Here is a 19,190-nt window from a genome sequence, read left to right on the forward strand (position 1 = left end):
CTCTCAAACATCAACTTTATAAATTATCTGAAAATATAAAATTATAAAAGAAAAAAAATCCCAAAGCATTTATTTCAAAGACAGGCTAAATAAAATTTGCTAATGACTTACTTCAAATCTTGCATAGCAATGAGTAACTTTCTTTCCTTAGATATTCATCCTCTTTAAGCTAGGATTTAGATTACCATAACTATATTTTATGATTAACTGAATAGCTTCATTAGCAATTTCTTCATCAGGTAATTTCATGGTTATTTTCCAAATGAAATCTATTCCCATCAACTTCAGCTTTTCTACATTCTGTTCAAAAGAAAAAAACAAATTATATAGCACACCAGGATCACAAAATTACAGATCATTATTTCCTGTTACATCTTGAGTCCACAACACTTCAGTTCAACATGAATCAAGGCTTCAGGACCTCAGCTATATGAAAACACTGTCATACTGATATGGAACTTGAAAACAAAAACCCACCAACCACAGAAGCACCAGCAACCTCTGTGGGAGCTAGAGTAAGTATGGAGAGTTTTCTTCATATGTCCCTAAACCCAAAGCAGACATACACATCGACAGGCTATTGAAGCAGACACACAGGAGGAATAAGCTGGGCCCAATCTTCATAACTTTTCTTCAAATGGAAATGGACTCAGGCTAGAAGTGGCTACTAATTCTTGGGGTTCAAGCTAGTTTCTCCAGAGCTCTGTTAGAAATACCAGGATGGGCCAGGCGTGTTGGGGCTCATGCCTTTGATCCCAGTACTTTGGGAGGCTGAGGCTAGGAGTTCAAGACAAGCCTAAGCAACAGAGCGACACCCATCTCTACAAAAATAAATAAATAAAAACAAATAACAGGATACAGGCTTTACAAGAGCTTGTAAAAATTTTTACCACCCAAAGAAGCCAGATACTTAATAAAAGGGACTTGAAAGCCAGCTCTCACTTTGGTCCAAGGTGGCCAGAAAATGGGGGGCCCCCGGGGAAAGGGCCGCAGACACCTGTGGGCCGGCTCCGTGGGTGTCCTTGAACTTGGATGGTGGTCCCGCAGCTCTGGGCGCCACGCAGACTGCTGTGCCCACTGGGGCTGGGCTCACCAGGAAGTAGGATCAGCAGAAACGCGGGCGCTCACAACTGGTGCCAGGTTCGGTTTCCTTAGGCCTCTACCCGCAGGGCCCCGTCCCTACCGTGCCTGGTGGGTGCTTCCTCACCTGCTGCTCTCCCCACAACGGGGCTGCTCTTTTGCCCAGGGGCTCTGGGGCGGTCCCGGCCACCCAGAGCGCGAGGTCGCAGGTCCCAGTACTCATGCCGGAGGCCCTGACGTGCTGGGGGTGCCCACGCGGGCCTGTGGTCCCCACGCCGGCTTGTGGTCCCCACGCCTGGCTCGGGCACCTGCAGAGGGAGGGCGCCCTCTTGAGTCGGCGCCCTCTGCCGCGCTGTTGCCGCCCCCGCGGCTGGAGGTCAGCTCCTCTCCCCGGCCATCTAGGCCTCAGCTCTGCCCTGCCCCCTGGCCGCTCCGCTATCCTACCCCCTGGCCACCACCAGAGGAAGACCCCTTCTTTCCCTAGCTGTGCCCGCACAGTGAGGCCCTACCCGCGGGCCGCCTCCTCCCGCTGCTGCCCCAGCGCTGTCCTACCCCCGGTCGCGTCGCCGAGGCAGCCGCCACAGGTCGGTGCTACCTTCTGGGCACCGAAGGAGGGAACTCTCCTTTCCCCAGCCATTCCGCCCCACTGTCCTGCCCTACCCAATGGCCGCCTACCTCTGACTGCCCTACCCCTGGTCTGCCTGCCTCCACTACCGCCCGCCGGCTGCCTGCTGCCCCAGCCCCCTCCACCGTGGCAGCCGCTGCCACCGCCCAGGTAGTGCAACATCCCGCAGCGGTCTCCTTAGCGCCCGCAAGTTCCGGCCTCCAAGGAGGACGCTGGCGGGTGGCCTCGGCGCCGGCTTCTCCTCTGGCAGAGCACAAAACAGCCCTGGGCAAAAACCACAGGCAACTCAAACGCTGGACCAGGCCCTCAGCAGGCTTTTATACCAGCTTTATGCAAATAAAGTCTCCTGGAACACGTGTTCTGATTGAATGAGAGCAAGTCTATAGGACAACTCTGATTGGATAATTTAGTCCAATGAGATTAGGTCAAAAGCTTCCTTCTCATCAATCAGAACATGTGTCCTAGGAGCCTGCACTTGCAGAAGGTGGGTATATAGCTGTTGAGGTGGGTCAGTCTTCTCGTTTGACTCTCTTCTGGTTCTGTGTGCTGTGCTGTCCTGTTCTGGCAAAAGGAGGACGAGCTGGCCTACCTGCTGGGCGGCTTTATTGGAGACTGGAGTCTGCGGATGGCTGCAGTGAGATGGCAGCCGCTAGGAGGGGGACCTATGGCAACAGGAGGTTGGTTGGTGGGCGGATGGCACGGGAGGTAGCATCGCTCTGCTGGTGGTGGCCTAGCTTCAGCGTCAGCGGTACCGGTGCGACCAGGTTACCAGGGGATGAGGGATGTGACTTTGGAGTTGGAGGCTGGGGGGATAGAACACTGCTGGGGAATAAAACACTGCTGGGGGGATACAACACTGCTGGGGCCGGGGGAGGAGGGTGGCACAGTGTTGCAGCAGGTAGCGGGGCCAGGGAAAATAGGGTTCATATTTCCGGTTGTGACCCAGCCAGGCGTGGGGGACAGCATGCCCATGCAGATAGCCTGGGAACGTCAGGATTCCTGCCGTGGGTTCCCAGGTTTGCATCCTTGCAGTTTGTGTGGCCAGGACTGCCTAGGAGCCACTGGGCAGGGAGCAGCCCCATTATGGGAGAGCAGCAGGCAAGGAAGAACCTAGGGGGCACAGGAGGGTTGGGCCCTGTAGGTAGCTGCATCAGGAACCAGGAACTCGCACCTGCATGAAAAGGGGCCACCAGGTGTGAATGGCACTGAGGGACTGGTTCCCAGTTTCTGCTGCTCCTAATTCCACCACATCGTAGCTCCAGTGGTCGTAGTTTGCGTGATGCCCCGAGGCTCAGGACCTCCACCCAAGTGCGGAACCACCGCCGGGAGCCAGGGACTGTGCTGTCCGCAGCCCTCACCCCCGGGGCCCCAGTTTCTGCAAAGAGAGGCTGCACTTTGGAGGGTGGGTGGGTGTGAGTCCGTCAGCTGAAACCTGGCCCCTTATCCCAAGTGGCCAGCATAACACGGTGACACAACTTAGTGTCACCACTCTCCTCACCCTACTCTTGAGTCAGATGGTCTGAGGGGCCTGGTGGAGTGTGTTCAACCGCAGGAAGGGGCAGATGTGAGATGGTGGTGGGGCAACAGACCCAAGTCGGTAGTCAAGGTCTGGGGGGATGTGGAGGGTCTTCTAGCAGAAGTGGAAGGGCCATGGGGCTATGGGGTCAGGAGAGGGGTGGGTAAGCCAGGCCCACTCTACACAAGCACCATAGTCCTCCAGCCAAGCTGGCCCCAGCACGCCGGGTGCCATCCTACCCCTATGTGTGTTGTTAGGCACCAGGCGGCCTGGCACAGAGCAGGAGCCTGCCTCCTGGGGAAATCCAGCTCCCATCCACAGCCTGGCAGCTGCACGCACAGAGGCCATTGCCCAGGGAGCAAGTGGGTTTGGGGGAGGGTGGTCGGCCCAGCCAGAAAGAGAAAGAGCTGGGAGTAGAGCCACCTCTGGCTGGGCTTTAAGTTGGGGTCTTTCCAGACCTCCAGGGCTCCAGGCTGCCAGCTGCCTGCTGAGGTTCTGGGTTTCCTCCTTAGCCTTCAGTTTCCTCACCTGACCAGGGGGACCTATATGGCAGTGTTTAGATTATTAGACTTGTTACTTTGGGAAACCCTCAGCCTACTGGCTCTCTAAATTTTTTTTTCCTGACTTTAAGGATCTTTTCAATGGATTATCTAGAGATGGGGAGGCAGGAAGGCTGGGATACTTTCTCTTGGCTTAACAGTCCCTTCAGGGCATTCCACTCCTTTTAGGATCTTTTAAAGCACGTGCCTAGCAACTCATCCTGTACCTGAGAGAGCTGGGAAGAACTTCATGCATGTCCAGTACTAGAATGATGTGTTCCCTGACCCTGGGCCCTCATCTCACCCCAAAACCTAAATCCCTCGGAGCAACCAGCTTCAGACACAAGTCTGAATTTGTTGCCTGTTGTCTGAGATTGACCCAAGGTCTTCTCCTCATATGAGATGGGGATCCCAGGCCCCCTGTATTTAGGATCCAACCACCAGCCACCCTTGTGGGCCCACCTGGGCCTCTTCACTCCACTTGTGTAGGAAAGCCAAATGTCCAGACCTGGTGTCCTATTTGTATCTCTCTTTTTCTCAGTGTATGTTTGCTATAATGGCAATGATACAGCATTTCCATATAAGTTTCGGGATATGGAATGTTCCCCACCCCAGAAAGTCCCTACATCAGCAAGCCCTGATTCCACCCCCTTTGGGCTGGCTGTGCATGTGCTCAGCTTGATGAAAACAAAAATGGCCTATGCAGTCTACACTGCTGAGTGTGATCTGTGGACATAGCTTCCTGATCCTGCATCTCCTTCCCCCTCATTACTGAGGTCTATTCTGTCTCTCACTTTTCACCTGAACTGCTCCTGAAGCCAAGATGAGGAATGGGGAGGGTCTTCTCCTGGGGTAAATCTTTGCTCTGAAAAGCCTGGGCTTGCCCCACTCTGTTATCCCCTCCTTTGAGCTCCATTTCTGCCAGAGGTTGGCAAGATGCAGCCTATCCCTGTTTGGTCTTGTGCCTCCTATAAGCCAAGAAATAGCTTTTTATTTTCGAATGGTAGAATTCATCAAAAGAATAATAATACTTAAGGACATTTTGAAATTTTCCATGTCCAGAAGAAAACTTTTGTGGAGGTGCAGTCATGCCTGTTCTTTTACAGGGTGTCTGCAGAAGGCTGCTGTCCTGCTACAGTGGCAGAGTTGAGTCTTTGGGACAGACACCAGTGGGAAAACCTGAAAATACTGACCCAAGGCCCTTTAGGGACTGTTTTTAGTTCTTGATTTGAGAGTTACATAGTGGGACTGGAGGCTTTGCACCAAATCTTTTATCACTCCCACTGCTGTAGTCTCTGCTGGTGTGTCTGTAAAGTTAGGGTACCATGGCACCTCCCTTGAGAGTATTGAGCTCCAGTGTGCTAGTTTTGGGGGTGCCTGCTTCATGGTTGCTTATCCCACCTACAGAGGTCCTGGGCCTAAACCAGGCCAGCAGGATGAGTTGGTCATTGGAGGCTGGAGCCTGCAGGTGGCAGAGGCACTATGGAAGCTGGTGTTGCTGTAGTCTGTGGCTCTGGGGGTGGTGGCTCCTGCTCCCTGGACACCCAGGATGTATCTTTCTGAATTTGGAAACCTTCCTTAAACTGCCAGCCTCAGGACCCAGCCTGATAATCCCCAACAATCACATGTAAGTGTGCATTTGATACATGTAGTGTATTTGCAGAGTTATGGAACTATAGGCACAGTATAATTGAAGTGCATTTCATTCATCCCCAAAAGGTGATGCTGTTTGTGGCCAGTCCCTATTACCTTCTAGCACTAGACCACTATACATCTCCCCTCTGTCTCCAGAGATTTGCCTTTTCTGGACATGCCTTGCCAGTGGAATCACAGAATGGGGTCATTTGCTGCTGCTTTCTTTCTGTCAGCTTAATGTGTTTGAGTTCCATTCCTTTTGTAATGTGTATTATTACTTTATTTTGATTGACAAAAAATATAATAAAGATATACCACCCATGTTTTTCCTTTCATTCCTTGAGATGTATTCAGGTAGTTTTCATCATGAATAGTGCTGCAGTGAATCTTGTTGTGCACGTAGACTTTCATAGCTTATAGGCGCATAACTGGGAGTGGAATTGCTGGGTCAAAACAATAGTTCCTTCTTAAACATTTTGAGAAATTGCCTCATTGTGTTTTAACTGGCTGCACTATTTTACACTCCCACCAGCAATGTGAGGTTTTCCTATTTTTCTCATTCATGACAACACTTTTTGTTGTTGTTGGATTACAAGGTGTAAAGTGGTATCTCTCTGAGGTTTTGATTATAATTTCCCTAATGGACTAATATTGAATATATTTATACATACTATTTAAAATTTGTATATATTTTGGCAACGGTAAAAATTTCTATTAAAATCTCATTTTTAAAATTGTATTTTTGTCTCTTTATAGTTTGTATTCTTAAGTTTAAAGTTACAGTTTTAAAAAAATTACAGTTTAAAAAAGTCTTAAAAAACATTTTAGTTTAAAGTTACAGTTTTAAAAAAAGTTACAGTTTAAAAAAAAATGTCCTTCCCTATGTGTTTTTTGGGGGGTTGTATTTTGAATAGTATTGTTTCTTTAATTATATTTTGAGAATATTGGTAGTGCACAGAAATGCAATTGATATTTCTATCTTGATCTCGATCGTCTGCAATATTGCTAAACTTATTACTTTGAGTGAGTTTTTACTAAATTTCTCAGGATTATTGTTATTATTATTATTATTATTATTGAGACAGTATATCAGTCTGTTGCCCAGGCTGGAGTACAGTAGCACGAACACGGTTGACTGCTCCCACCTCAGCCTCCAGAGTAGCGGGTTCTACAGGCATATTGCCACCCTGCCCAACTAATTTTTGTTTATTTTTTGTAGGAATGAGAGTTCACTATGTTGCCCAGGCTGGTCTCAAACTCTTGGATTCAAGTGATTCCCCCACTTTAGCCTCCCAAAGTTCAGGGGTTACAGGCATGAACCACTGTGCCTGGCTAGGACTTCATACATATGAGATTATGTTTTGGATATGAAAAGGCAATTTTACACTTTCCTTTGGAATCTGGAGTCCTTTTCTTCATTTGTTCTTTCATGTTTTTTTTTTTATGATACTTTAAGTTCCGGGATACATGTGCAGAACATGCAGGTTTGTTACATAGGTATACACGTGCCATGGTGGTTTGCTGCACCCATCAACCCGTCATCTACATTAGGTATTTCTCCTAATGCTATCCCTCCCCTATCCCCCCAACTCCCCAACAGGCCCTGGTGTGTGATGTTCCCCTCCTTGTGATTTTTTTTAACAATGTCATCAAGGACAATGTTGAATAGAAGTGGCAAAAGCGAATATTTGTGCATCTTGTTCCCGGTCTTATGTGGAAAACATTCTTTCCACTAAGTATGACGTTTTCTGTAGGTTTTCTATAGATAACCTTTATCAGGTTGTGGAAATTCTCTTCAATTATTGATTTGGTTAAAATTTTCGTTATATGCTAGGTATAGTGAATTTTTTTTCTGTGTCAATCCGATAACCATCTCTTGGTCTTCCATCACTTTTACAATATGGTATATTACATTAATTGTTTTAGCCGCTTTATTGAGATACAATTGATGTACAGAAAACTGAATGTTTATTATATTCAATATGTTAGGTGTGGACAAACACTTGTGATATAGAACCACAATCAAGATAATAAATATATCTATGTTAATTGTAATGACCACAGGGCCCACACATCCAGGGACTTGAGAAATCATTTAGAAGAATGGATATGAATGGAAACATCAAGTTTTTTTAGTTGCCACATAAACTGCATATCTGTGCCACAATTCCTCTTGGTGTAAGGGTCCTTAATTCTTTTTAAATGTTGTTGGGTTTGTTTTGCTAGTATTGAGAACTTATTTTGTCAAATTCAACAGGGGTAGTGTTCTGCAGTTTTTTTCTTTTCTCCTGTGGTTTTTGTATTATAGTAATTCTGGCCTAGCATAATTAATTGGGAAGTTTTTCCTTCTCCTTTTTTTCATATTTGTAAAGGATTGGTTGTAATTGTTCATCAAAAATTGGCAAAATACACATCACTGATGCAATTGAGATTGGGCATATTCTTGGCATGAAGATTTTTATTATTTTTATTTTAGATTCAGGGAAAACATATGCTTGTTTGTTACAAGGGTATGTGGCACGATGCTGAGGTTTGGGCTTTGACTGAATGCATCACATATGCAGTGAACATCATACCCAATAGGTACTTTTTCAACCCTTGTCTCCTTCCTCTCCCCACCTTTTGGAGTCTCCATTGTCTTTTGATTCCCATCATTAATTCCATGAGGACCCAATGTTTAGCTCCCACGTATAAGTGAGCACATGTGGTATTTGTTTTTCTTTTTCTCTGTTAATTTGCTTGGGGGAAAAGGCCAAATTGTGGCAATTTGCATGCATCTAGCTCTGCTATACATAATTAACACCAGAGCCCTCAATATTTTTTCTTTTGCAAAGATGGGGATTGGATCAAATATATCCAATGGATGTTTTTAAGCAGTTTAAATACAGAGCCTGTTAGATCACTTGCTCATTTTGCTAAAATATATTTGGGGAGAGAGAAGGAGCCTTTGAGGATTTTAGGCTATGGATGGCCCCACATTCTCATCTAAATTGTCATGGGACCATTGGCTAAAATTAAAGCATTTTACCCAAGAAAATTCTTACTCTCCTCCCAAGAGAATATTTGATTTGCATCTGCTACAGAATTTTCTTTTATCCTTGATTATCATTTCGGGTTTTCTGGGTCCTTTAGGGCTGTTTTAAGCTTTGTGTGGACTGATAGACAAGATGTAATTTAACTCTTAGAGAATCAACCTATAGCAAATTTCAGAGGACAATTCATGTGATCCCTTGATTCCATTCCTACCCAGTGCCTGCCCCTGTGTGGGAAAGATTTCCAAAGATTCATCAAGGAATAATATATAACTTTCTTTTGAATTATTTTGCCTGGGTTTTTTGAGCTTGAATCTTCAAAAAGAAATTATTTATATAATGTATATTATTTAGATACTTTGTAGCTGCAATTTGGCATGCAAAACTATTTTTAAGAGGTATAATTTTCTAAGTATATTAAATAGAAAATATTCATTTCTAGATACAGCATTTGTGCATGTTAAAAGCTGTTTACTGAAGAAAATAAAATTCATAATTCTGTTTATATGGGGTACCTAGAATGGGCAAATTCATAGAGGTAAAAACAGAATAGAATTTACTGGAGGTAAAAGCAAGAGTTGTTTAGTGAGTACAGAATTTCTGTTGGGGAAGACAAAAAAGTTTGGGGTTTAGGTAGTGGTGATAGGTACATAGCATTGTAATTGCATTTAATGCCACTGGATTGTACACTTACAAATGGTTAAGATGATAAATATGGCATGTATATATACAATGAAAACCTGTAACTTCTAAGAAGATATATATATACACACATATATTATACATACATACATGTATACATATACATGTGTACATGCATCCATAGGCTTCAGATTAAATTTGCCTCTTCTCCCTAATTTATTATAGAATGCCAAGTTAGGTAGGGAAGGAAAAGTAGATTAATTTGGTCCTGGGAATTTTTTTGTTTTTGAATTTTATTTGGCTTACCACTGAGAGTAGAAACTCAATTTGAATGTGTGTGCCACTCTTCTTTATAATTCAGAAAATATTTCACTATTTTGTTTATTTGCTATAAGGGCAAGGACTCTATGATTTTTTTCATTATGGTACAAGGATATTTTTAGGACTGAATAGTTATCAGATGCAGAGGAAGGTAATCTTGAAGCTCAATTCCCAAATTAAAGTGTTTTGTATACAATTTCTTACATTTTTGCAGTGTTGACCTTAGGGAATTTTCTAAGCTCACCTATTTGATTTCACTGAACCATAATATAATGTGCAGTTTCTTTTCTTGTAGGCCAAGAAGTGGCCACGTGAACAGTTGGGATTTGTTTCCATAAAATTCCTCTCTAGTCAAACAAACAGGTCATAGAATAAACTAAAAATAAATTTGTGGAAGTCAGCATTCATTTATGACTAACAAAGAAGAGAAAAATTCCATGAGAAATAGCAAGTGCAGAGCTGCTTCCTTAATAAAAATCTACCAATCTATTTCAAATTTAAACCCAGCCATTAATTAAAAGGGACACATAAAATACATTGGCATTAAAATAACCTCAGAAAAAGGAAACCTGTTATCACCCCTCTCTTTGAACATCATTCTTGAAGTGCTAGCCCATGCAGACAGGGGAGAACTGAATAACTGTGTATATAAGAAAGAAAATGAAAAACTTGTCATTTTTGGATGATATAATTGTCCACTATGGAAGCCCAGAAGAGTCAACAGCAACTTAGTACTAGTAAGAGGTTGGTTACAATTGGAAATTCATTTATAAAAGTCAGGTAGATAGGCATGTCTTCTACCTGCGGGTCTGGGAATATATCAGTGAGGGAGGTGGAACACAGGTTCTAGCTGGGTCTTGGGAAAGTGAGGAGGAAGCACGTGGACAAGGCAGGGCTCCAGAGGCACCAGAGGGCTCATGGCTTCTCTTTGTTCTCGCCACCACTTTCACTGGGGCCCAGGAGCTGAGTTCCAAGACTTGGGGAATAGTGGACTTCTGGGGCAAAGTGGCTGATGCACCAAAACATCTTTTAAAGAACAGATAAAGAACAGAAGCGTACCTGGGAGAGCTGGCTGAAACCAGGACACGGTGGGACCATTGGAAAGGACTCTAAACCACAGCAGCAGAAGGAGAGCTAGACTTGCAGGGACCCAGGCTCCACACTAGGGACCTCGACCTTGTCCTGCAGGGAGTGGAGACCCATGAATGGATGTTAGGTGGGTTTGGTTTGCACATAGCCTTGGTGTATGTTGATAGTGTTGTAACTGATGACTAACCAGGCCTCACATTTGCAGCCCACAGTGCCTTGCATACAGGAGATCATCATTCTTCTGGTCCTATGCCATGTGATTGTTACTGAGGAGGATGGAGATGACATCATCTACCACGCCTCCTCCCCAGGTGAGGGCTGTGGTGAGATGCATCCTGCCAGACCCTCCTCAGGAGACAAGGGTATTGGCAGTTATTCGTGAATGATGCAATGGTGCCACCTCTGCCACAGACTCAGCTGTCTGCCCCTGCCCTCATACCATGACCAGGCTGTGACTACAGGTGTTAGAGCTGTAGAGAACTGGGACTGTGCTCTCCCGACTCTCCTAACGCTGACAACAGAGGGAGGACCCAGGCTGTCTTGCATTTCCCAGCAGTGGCTATTGGGCTAAGTAAGTCTCTGAAGAGAGAGCAGGGCAAGCTTCTGTCATCCCCTAGCCCCCAGGAGTTTTCCAACTGCTGTGGAAGCTGTGTATGAAGCACTCTCCCCACTTTGTGTGGCTCTGGCAGTCCCACAGCACACGACTAAACATGGCCTTGCTCAGAGGTGACATTTGGTCAGAAAGTTGTGGGAATACTACTTAGGTTAATTAGAGAGAACTTGCCCGTGAAAGTAGCAGGAATGTAAATCACTTTCCTGGTGAATTAGCTCTAGGTCCATGTGCTCCCATTTAACAGAAGCGCTTATTTCAGGACCATGGTGGTAGGAAGAGTGAGTGCTGCTATACCCTGAGTCCTTACTACTGTGCAGATAATGCCAGGCCTCTTTAACTAGAGTGAGTTTTGCTAATTTGAAAAATGACAGTAAACAGAATTTTACCATTATGAGTGATTGTCAATGTTTCACCAACTCTTTATTGACAGATGAAGCTGCTTTGGTGGAAGGTGCTAAAAAGCTGGGCTTTGTACAGTGAGAACACCATATTCGGTCATCATAGAAGCAGTAAGTGGCAAACTTGTGCACATTTTAGAACAGCTACTTTCTTGAAGATTGTGTATTGGACATAGCATGTCTATTGCAAGAATGATAGCTAAATGTTTATTTTTCTATCTGTGAAAAAACAGAACTGTTGAAAAGTTGTTAATGTAATTATATTATTAGTGTTATTTGCATTACAATACTTGTTTGCTCTTTAAGATGCTTCCCCACACATCTTTTTACATTGGTGTGAAAATATTAGTAGCAAAAAACTTCAAAAGTCTAGTTTTCATTCTACAATAGTTGGAAAATTAATTTTTTGTTGCACATAAGGGCATATTCTATGCCTCTTGTAGCCTCAGCACCTAAGATTTCTTACACAGTGAAGCCTCACAGTCCTCTGGGCTTCTGTCTGGCTGGCTGAGAGAGAAGGGGTCAAAGCTTAATATCCCTAATCTATATAGGAGGGTTCTTCTTCACTAAAGTAAAGGGAGGTCATGTATTTTCTGATTTTTTTTTTTTATTTTTGCTCCCTATGGTTCAGAGGAAGAAATTTAGTGATAGAAAAAAGGTTATATCAAGAATAAGATCAAATAGGGACCCTTGAGATGGGCAACAGGGTAAAATGATGATGAGGACAAGCAGGGCAGGGGAGTTTGTCATGATGACCAGTTAGAAGGGCTATAGTGCATTCGAAGTTCACTTCCAAGGGGTATATTAGCGTGATATTGTTTCTGACTGTTTAGTACTGTAGTCAGTTTTTGCCTTTGCTTCTATGCAAAACCTGTGAAATATCAGACCTTGTACAAATTGCTTATTTCTTAGCATCTGCAGTTTCCTTTCTTATGGAGTACAAAGATCAGATTATGTTTATTTTTATTGTAACCAACAGAGGGAATTTAGCTTAGGGAAGTGTGCAAAAATAGAACAAAGTACTGATTGAGTATAGTATTTCCTTTACAGAAGCTTTTTAAAAATGAGGCCTTTCCCTCTTGCGTTTGAGGAGGCTTCTAACCTTAACTGGAGAACTTTCAATCGCATGGGTGCTTGGGTGCTGCAACATTTATCTGCATTGCAAAAATGGAGGTTGGGGGTAGTGGGCAGGGACTAGTCAATCAGAAGTGGGAGAGACAGACAAGAACAGCTGCTTCTGTCTCACTCACATGCCAAAGAAAGACGAGCATCTACAGAGCCTGTTGATACCATCCTCTTAGTGTTAGATGCCAGACTGGTACCACTTTGTTATTTCATTGAAGTTTTTTGGTCATATTTCTGGGAGTAAAAAAGAATACCCTATTCATTAGGACTTGCAAATAATCATAATAAATATAATCCTATTAAACCATTAATACTGGGGTGACGTGGAACCACAGATTGTCAAATTAGATACCAGGTATTTACCAGGTATTATGATGACCTTGCTGGTCATCATAAGAGCTGAGTCCATGGGTGCACGTGGAGGTGGTTGATGTAACCATCGTACCGAGAGATGTGGCTCCTGGGAATGGAAGCCCTGCTGCTAGACAGTGGATATTATAACATTCCTCAGCCTGAGGAGAAAGGGAACTGGTGGATCCAGAGAGAGCTGAATAAAGATGGGTGAAGGCTGGATGAAGTAGATTATTAGTTGTATTTTAGGATGTAGTGAGGAGTAAAGCGTTGTGGAGATGATTATTCAGTCATGTACTTGGTCATTCAGATACATTACTTCACTGATTATTTCTCTCACCCCAAGAGGTGAGTGCTATCACTATTCATCAGTAAGTCAAACACTTAGTGGAAGAAACTGAATTTAAATTCACATCTACTGGGCTTCAAAGGCTACATTCTTTCTACTGTGATGTGTTATGGAAATACCAGATTAGATTAAAAAGTTTGAAAGCAGGCCAAGTATGGTGGCTCACACCTGTAATGCCAGAAATTGGGAGGCAGGAGGATCACTTGAACCCAGGAGTTCAAGACCAGCCTGGGCAATGCAGAGAGACCCCATCTCTCAAAAAACAATTTTGACATAGCTGGGTGTAGTGGTGCACACGTGTAGTGCCAGCTACCTGAGAGGATCGCTTGAGCCCAGGTGGTTGATGCTGCTATGAGATGTGATTGCACCACTGCACTCCAGCCTGGGCAACAGAGTGAGACCCTGTCTAAAAACAAAAACAAAAACCTTTAGAAACAGCATACACAGCATCTGGGATTTTGTAGATGGAAAGAAATTGTGATTCTTGACTTCTAACTTGAAAGAACCCAAAGAAGAAGAGCATTTGATTAATTGCCCTAAAACCAGGTGCAGAGTTACCATCTCTTATCTGCACCAAGATCCAAAAGCCTTTGAATTCCAAAAGTTTTGTCCTAAGTTTGGGGAATAGTCATTTGGCAGCAAAATCTAATCAGAACTGACATGAGGCTATTATAATCTTTATGAATCTCACTGCATGTGACTTTCATACAATTTTCTGCAGGAAGTGGATATGTTATAGCAAGCAGTGTTACCCCAGACCGTGCAGGGGGCATTATGATAAATGGTCTAGAATGCGCATATAACTATATAAAATTGGAAAATCCTGAATTCAGAGGCATAACTAGCCCCAAGATTTCTGATGGACCCATGCAGCTTTGTGTTCTTTATCTTCATTTCTTGGAGGTAGTTACACCAGCCAATTGTTAAGACAGCCATGTCACTGAAGAAAAATGAGAAGCTTTTATCAGAAGAGCAAGCTATGACCCCAGAAGACTTGTCAGAAAATAGTACATGTTGCAGGAGGCTAGAGGGTGGGAAGGGGAGAGAAAGCAGAAGAGATGGGGGCAGAGAGAGATAGAAAGAGAGTGGGTTTATGAGTGGGAGAAAATTGCTTTGAGATTTTAATACTTACACTTTTAATAGGTAAGAGCCTATTTATTTTTTCCTTTAGATGGTACAGGAACAGACACTAGGAATCCTTATAGTCCTGGAATTTTCTAGGCCTGTATCTCTTTTATACACTTAAAATATGTTTTAAGTGTATGAAGGAGTTTATGAAAGTTTAAGTGTATGAAAGTTTTTAAATATATCTTTTTAAAAGCTTTATCTCAGTTCATTTGTATGATTGTATGGCATGACTCAATATAGTACTTAAGTATTAAATACAGTAAACATCTCTCCAAATCTTCTTCTCCTTGGAATTTGAGACTTTTATTAAAGAAAATGAAGTAAGTTATTTTCTTTGTTTTAGTCAACAGAAGTAAAGTTTCATGTGCTCCTTTTCTTTACACTTCTACAGTTTGATGTTCTTGCATCAGCAGCTGCAGAGCAGTCTGAATAGTTTATACATGTGATGAGAGCATTATTTTCATTGGCATTTCCCACGTCCTATGAGGTCTTTCTCCTAGCTCCATCTGAGCGTGCCTCTGGAGATCTGAGAAAGTGACAAATGATGACAGATGAGATAAATTCATCTCATTAGAGGCTTGGTCCATGTAGGACAGTTCTACTGCGCATGTGTGTAAGCATTTTTCCCCAGAGCAGTTTTGAAAATTAAGACTCATAAACATTTGTTAAATTATCTTATTCCCCTAGGATATTTATACTTTGTTATAAGAAAACGCATCTTAATTTTTTTTTGTTTTTGCCTCTTTAACACTGAATGGTCAATGCTAAAACCAGGTTCTGTTGCTATCTGAATTGCATCTTTTCCTGTTACTAAAGTTAGGGGAGTTTTTCTGTAACGTTTGTTAAATGATTCATGAATTGCTTGCTCTGTCTGCTTTATAAGCTATTGGATAAATGTCGGCACTGCATTCGCTTGTAGGAAATACCTTCCAGATCTAGTCTTTAGGTTTGCAAGTGTGAACTTTGGTGAGACAACAACCCTTGGGGTTACATATTTAACGAGAGAGATTGGGGATGGTTGATGACTGTGATAGCTCGTGGAGTGGGTGGTGATGGTGCTCTGGGTATGGAGGTGAGGGACGTGTTAGGCAGCCCTCCAGACTTTTTTATGCCCATCTCTTGTTGGAGACTGTCCATTACTTTCTAGTTGCATTAACTAGGACCAGCAGTTAATGGACAAGCAAGAAGGGAGTTAGATAAAAATGGGTGAATATGGATTAAGATGTGAAGATGAATTTTATTATTATTATTATTATTATTATTATTTGAGATGGAGTTTTGCTCTTTTTGCCCAAGCTAGAGTGCAATGGCACGATCTCCATTCACTGCAACCTCCACCTCCTAGGTTCAAGCAATTCTCTTGCCTCAGCCTCCCGAGTAGCTGGGATTACAGGCGCGTGCCAACACGCCCAGCTAATTTTTTGTAGAAACAGGGTCTCACCATGTTACCAGGCTGGTCTCGAATTCCTGACCTCAGGTGATCTGCCTGCCTCAGCCTCCCAAAGTGCTGGGATTACAAGCATAAGCCACCTCACCCAGCCGATTAATTTTAAATTATATGGGAGAATAAGAAAGAACAGGTCATTTGTGGTTATAGTTGTGGTCCTATCTCTTTTTAATTAATCTTTTACCTGAAGTTACTTAATCTTTTTTTTTTTTTTTTTTTTTTTTGAGATGGAGACTCACTCTGTCACCCAGGCTTGAGTGCAGTGTTGTCATCTCGGCTCACTACAACCTCCTCATCCCAAGTTCAAGTGATTCTCCTGCCTCTGCCTCATGAGTAGCTGGGATTACAGGCTCCTGCCACCATGCCCGCCTACTTTTTGTGTTTTTAGTAGACACGGGGTTTCACCATGTTGGCGAGGCTGGTCTTGAACTTCTGACCTCATGATCCACCTGCTTTGGCCTCCCAAAGCGCTGGGATTACAGGCATGAACCACCGTGCCCAGCCTCTCTTAATCTTGATAACACTCTTTTCAAGCAGTTGCTTTACATATTGAGAAACTAAGACATGAATTTGTTTTTTTTGTTGTTGTTTTTTGTTTTTTGATACGGAGCTTCGCTCTTGTTGCCCAGACTAGAGTGCAGTGGCATGATCTTGGCTCACTGCAACCTCTGCCTCTTGGGTTCAAGCAATTCTCTTGCCTCAGGCTCCCAAGTAGCTGGGATTACAGGTATGCGCCACCATGCCCGGCTAATTTTGTGTTTTTAGTAGAGATGGGGTTTCACCATGTTGGTCAGGTTGGTCTCAAACTCCTGGCCTCAGGTGATCCACCCACCTCAGCTTCCTAAAGTACTGGGATTATAGACATGAGCCACTATGCCTGGCCTCACTTAATTTTGATAACACTCTTTTCAAGCAGTTGCTTTACATATTGAGAACCTAAGACATGGATTTGATATCTTTGGTAAGCGCACACAACCACTAGGTAGTTGAGAGAGAATGCAGGAATTTATCCAGAGCTGAGGAGAGACTATCCTCACTCTTAGGCATTTAAAGTTGATTGGGAAGGACCAAACTGAAGATCCACAGAGATGGGTGGTCAGGGCTGCTATAGTTGAGGTGTGTCTCAGAATGATAACATGTTGACATAGGCATGGATTGGAATGTACAGAAAAGGAGAATGGTGAGGCTTGTGTGTGCTTGAAGTCTGGAGGTTGCGCATGGAAGGATGAGTGGGAGATGAAAGGAGGCTGCACAAGTGGGTGGATAGCAGTAAGAAGAATTTATGGGTGATTGGGACTCACGAAAGCCTTGGTGGGTGAGGGTGGACCATGATGAAAGATGTGTAAGGAACTATAGATGCTTTGGTGAGGAAAGGAGAGAGGAAGAGTTTATTGGTGCTGAATTGGGAATGTTCTAGAGGTTTGTAATTTTTTTTCTACCCAGTTTAAAGATGAAACAGTGAGGAACTTTTGAGTCAAATGGATCTATACTGAATCTCCCAGTTTGCTACCTAAAGATCAAGTTACTTGATAATTCCTAGCTAAAAAAGTAAAGAATACTTTTAGAGAGTAGATCCAGAAGTCAATCACATACACAGCCAGTGCTAGAATTCTCTTTTTCTTTTTTTCCTACTGCAAATAGCTTTGCTAGTATATTTTTGTGGCAGGGGAATAAATAGGTTTATGTCCATTAGATGTAAATGAAAAGACTAGGAGATACACAGTTACGTTCAACTTTGAGGAAAAAGGTAGGGAAAGATACAGCTTGACTGTTTTTAGGAGTGTCAGGCCACCTTTTGTTTTTATTGGTGTTTAGCTGTAGGACACACATTCTATCAACAGAGCAATGGTGACCTTTCATTTTTTACTCTCCCAGTGACAGAAAAAGGATGTAATTGTTCAAAGTCTTTCAGTGCAACTTTAACTCCACTGTAAAGGGGCTGTAAGTATCGGTGCAGTGTCCTGCATAGCAGAGAGTTCTTGGCAACTACTTTGTCAATCAGCTCCTTTTCCTAACTGTGGTTCTCATCATTTGCTTATTGTTTGCCCAAAGTTGAAAGGTTCTTTCAGGTAGGTTGTCAAGTTGACTTAGGAGTAAAAGCCCATGGTGGTTCAAGGCAGAATGGCACAGATGGTCAGTTTTAGCCAATAGTTGTTTCAGAAACAGCAACTCAATGTGTCAGGCAAAATCCTTGGAGTATAAATTCTGATTCCAGTTTTACCAGCATTGTGTTGTGACTTTGGGAAGATAAAGAATTTTGGTTGGCCTGTGATGATCTTCTTTAAGTGCTCTGATATGTAAATATATGTTCTCTAGCAGCTATTCTTCTCAATTGTTGTGGTTAATTTTTTTTTTCATCACCAAGAGCTATGTTGTGGGGACAAGGGCAGTGTCCATCTGTGGCTGCATTATTGCTGCTCCTTTTGGTCAGGCTTTTCGTCCTGTCTGCTTCCTAGTACCCAAATCTAAATGTATTCTCTAAGAAATCTGTGAATCTTATTTTTTTTTAATTTTATGTATTCCCTAAGGAATTTGTGAATCTTATTTGTTAAATCATGATCTTATGTATTGAGGAAAATAATTATTAAGCTTATTTTATTTGACTGTCAAAAATATAAAGCTATTCTAGGATTACTGATTAGTTGAAAATCTTAGTAATCGTTACCAATTGTGGGAAGAACGGTGGTTTCATATGAGTACAGTATGACTAGCGGTTTTTAAAAATGAGGAATACATGGGAATTCTCAGGGCATTATATTTTACCCATGAAATAATTCTATTTTTAGTAATAGCTACTTAAATTAATTTCATCTAGGTTTTGTTCTCACATGATCTGTTTCTTAAACTTTTTGTTTATTTAACATTATATTTTATACATGAAATAATTATGTTTTGAGTAATAGCTACTTAAATTAATTTCGTCTAGGTTTTGTTCTCACGTGATCTGTTTCTTAAACTTTTTGTTGATTTGACATCAAATTCTAAGTACTACAGAAAGTACAAAAGGCATCAATGTGAGGCAGTGGAGAGAGGAAGGCTGTAAATATAGAACAGTGTCCATATGAAAACACCACAGAGGCATATTCTATTTCTATAGAGGTATTTTATTTTTACAGGATTTTATTTTTTCCAAAATTCAAGCTAGGTTCTTCTACTTTTTTTTATTAAAAAGCATCCTAAAACTATGTACTTTATAGCATATTGGATTATCTGTGGAATCCAGTACCCTAGCCCTGTCTGTCATCATGGAAATACTCACAGGGCAATGAGCTGTGTACACCCAAATGTTTCTGGGCAGAA

The 19,190-nt window shown here is 42.7% G+C and overlaps 1 long non-coding RNA gene across 3 annotated transcripts in view; it reads left to right on the forward strand.

Moving 5' to 3' along the window:
• LINC02987 (long intergenic non-protein coding RNA 2987) overlaps positions 1 to 19,190 on the forward strand; it is a 231,539-nt gene that overhangs the window by 114,827 nt on the left and 97,522 nt on the right. For 2 of the 3 annotated variants that reach the window (NR_146733.1, NR_146734.1), the window contains exon 2: positions 11,523 to 11,601. This is a non-coding gene — a long non-coding RNA (long intergenic non-protein coding RNA 2987). Of the gene's footprint in view, positions 1 to 10,430; positions 10,607 to 10,684; positions 10,791 to 11,522; positions 11,602 to 19,190 lie in introns of all 3 variants that reach the window. The other variant, NR_146735.1, reaches the window with a different exon arrangement.

Source organism: Homo sapiens, chromosome 19 (genome assembly GCF_000001405.40).
Source record: "Homo sapiens chromosome 19, GRCh38.p14 Primary Assembly".
Taxonomy (NCBI): Eukaryota; Metazoa; Chordata; class Mammalia; order Primates; family Hominidae; genus Homo; species Homo sapiens.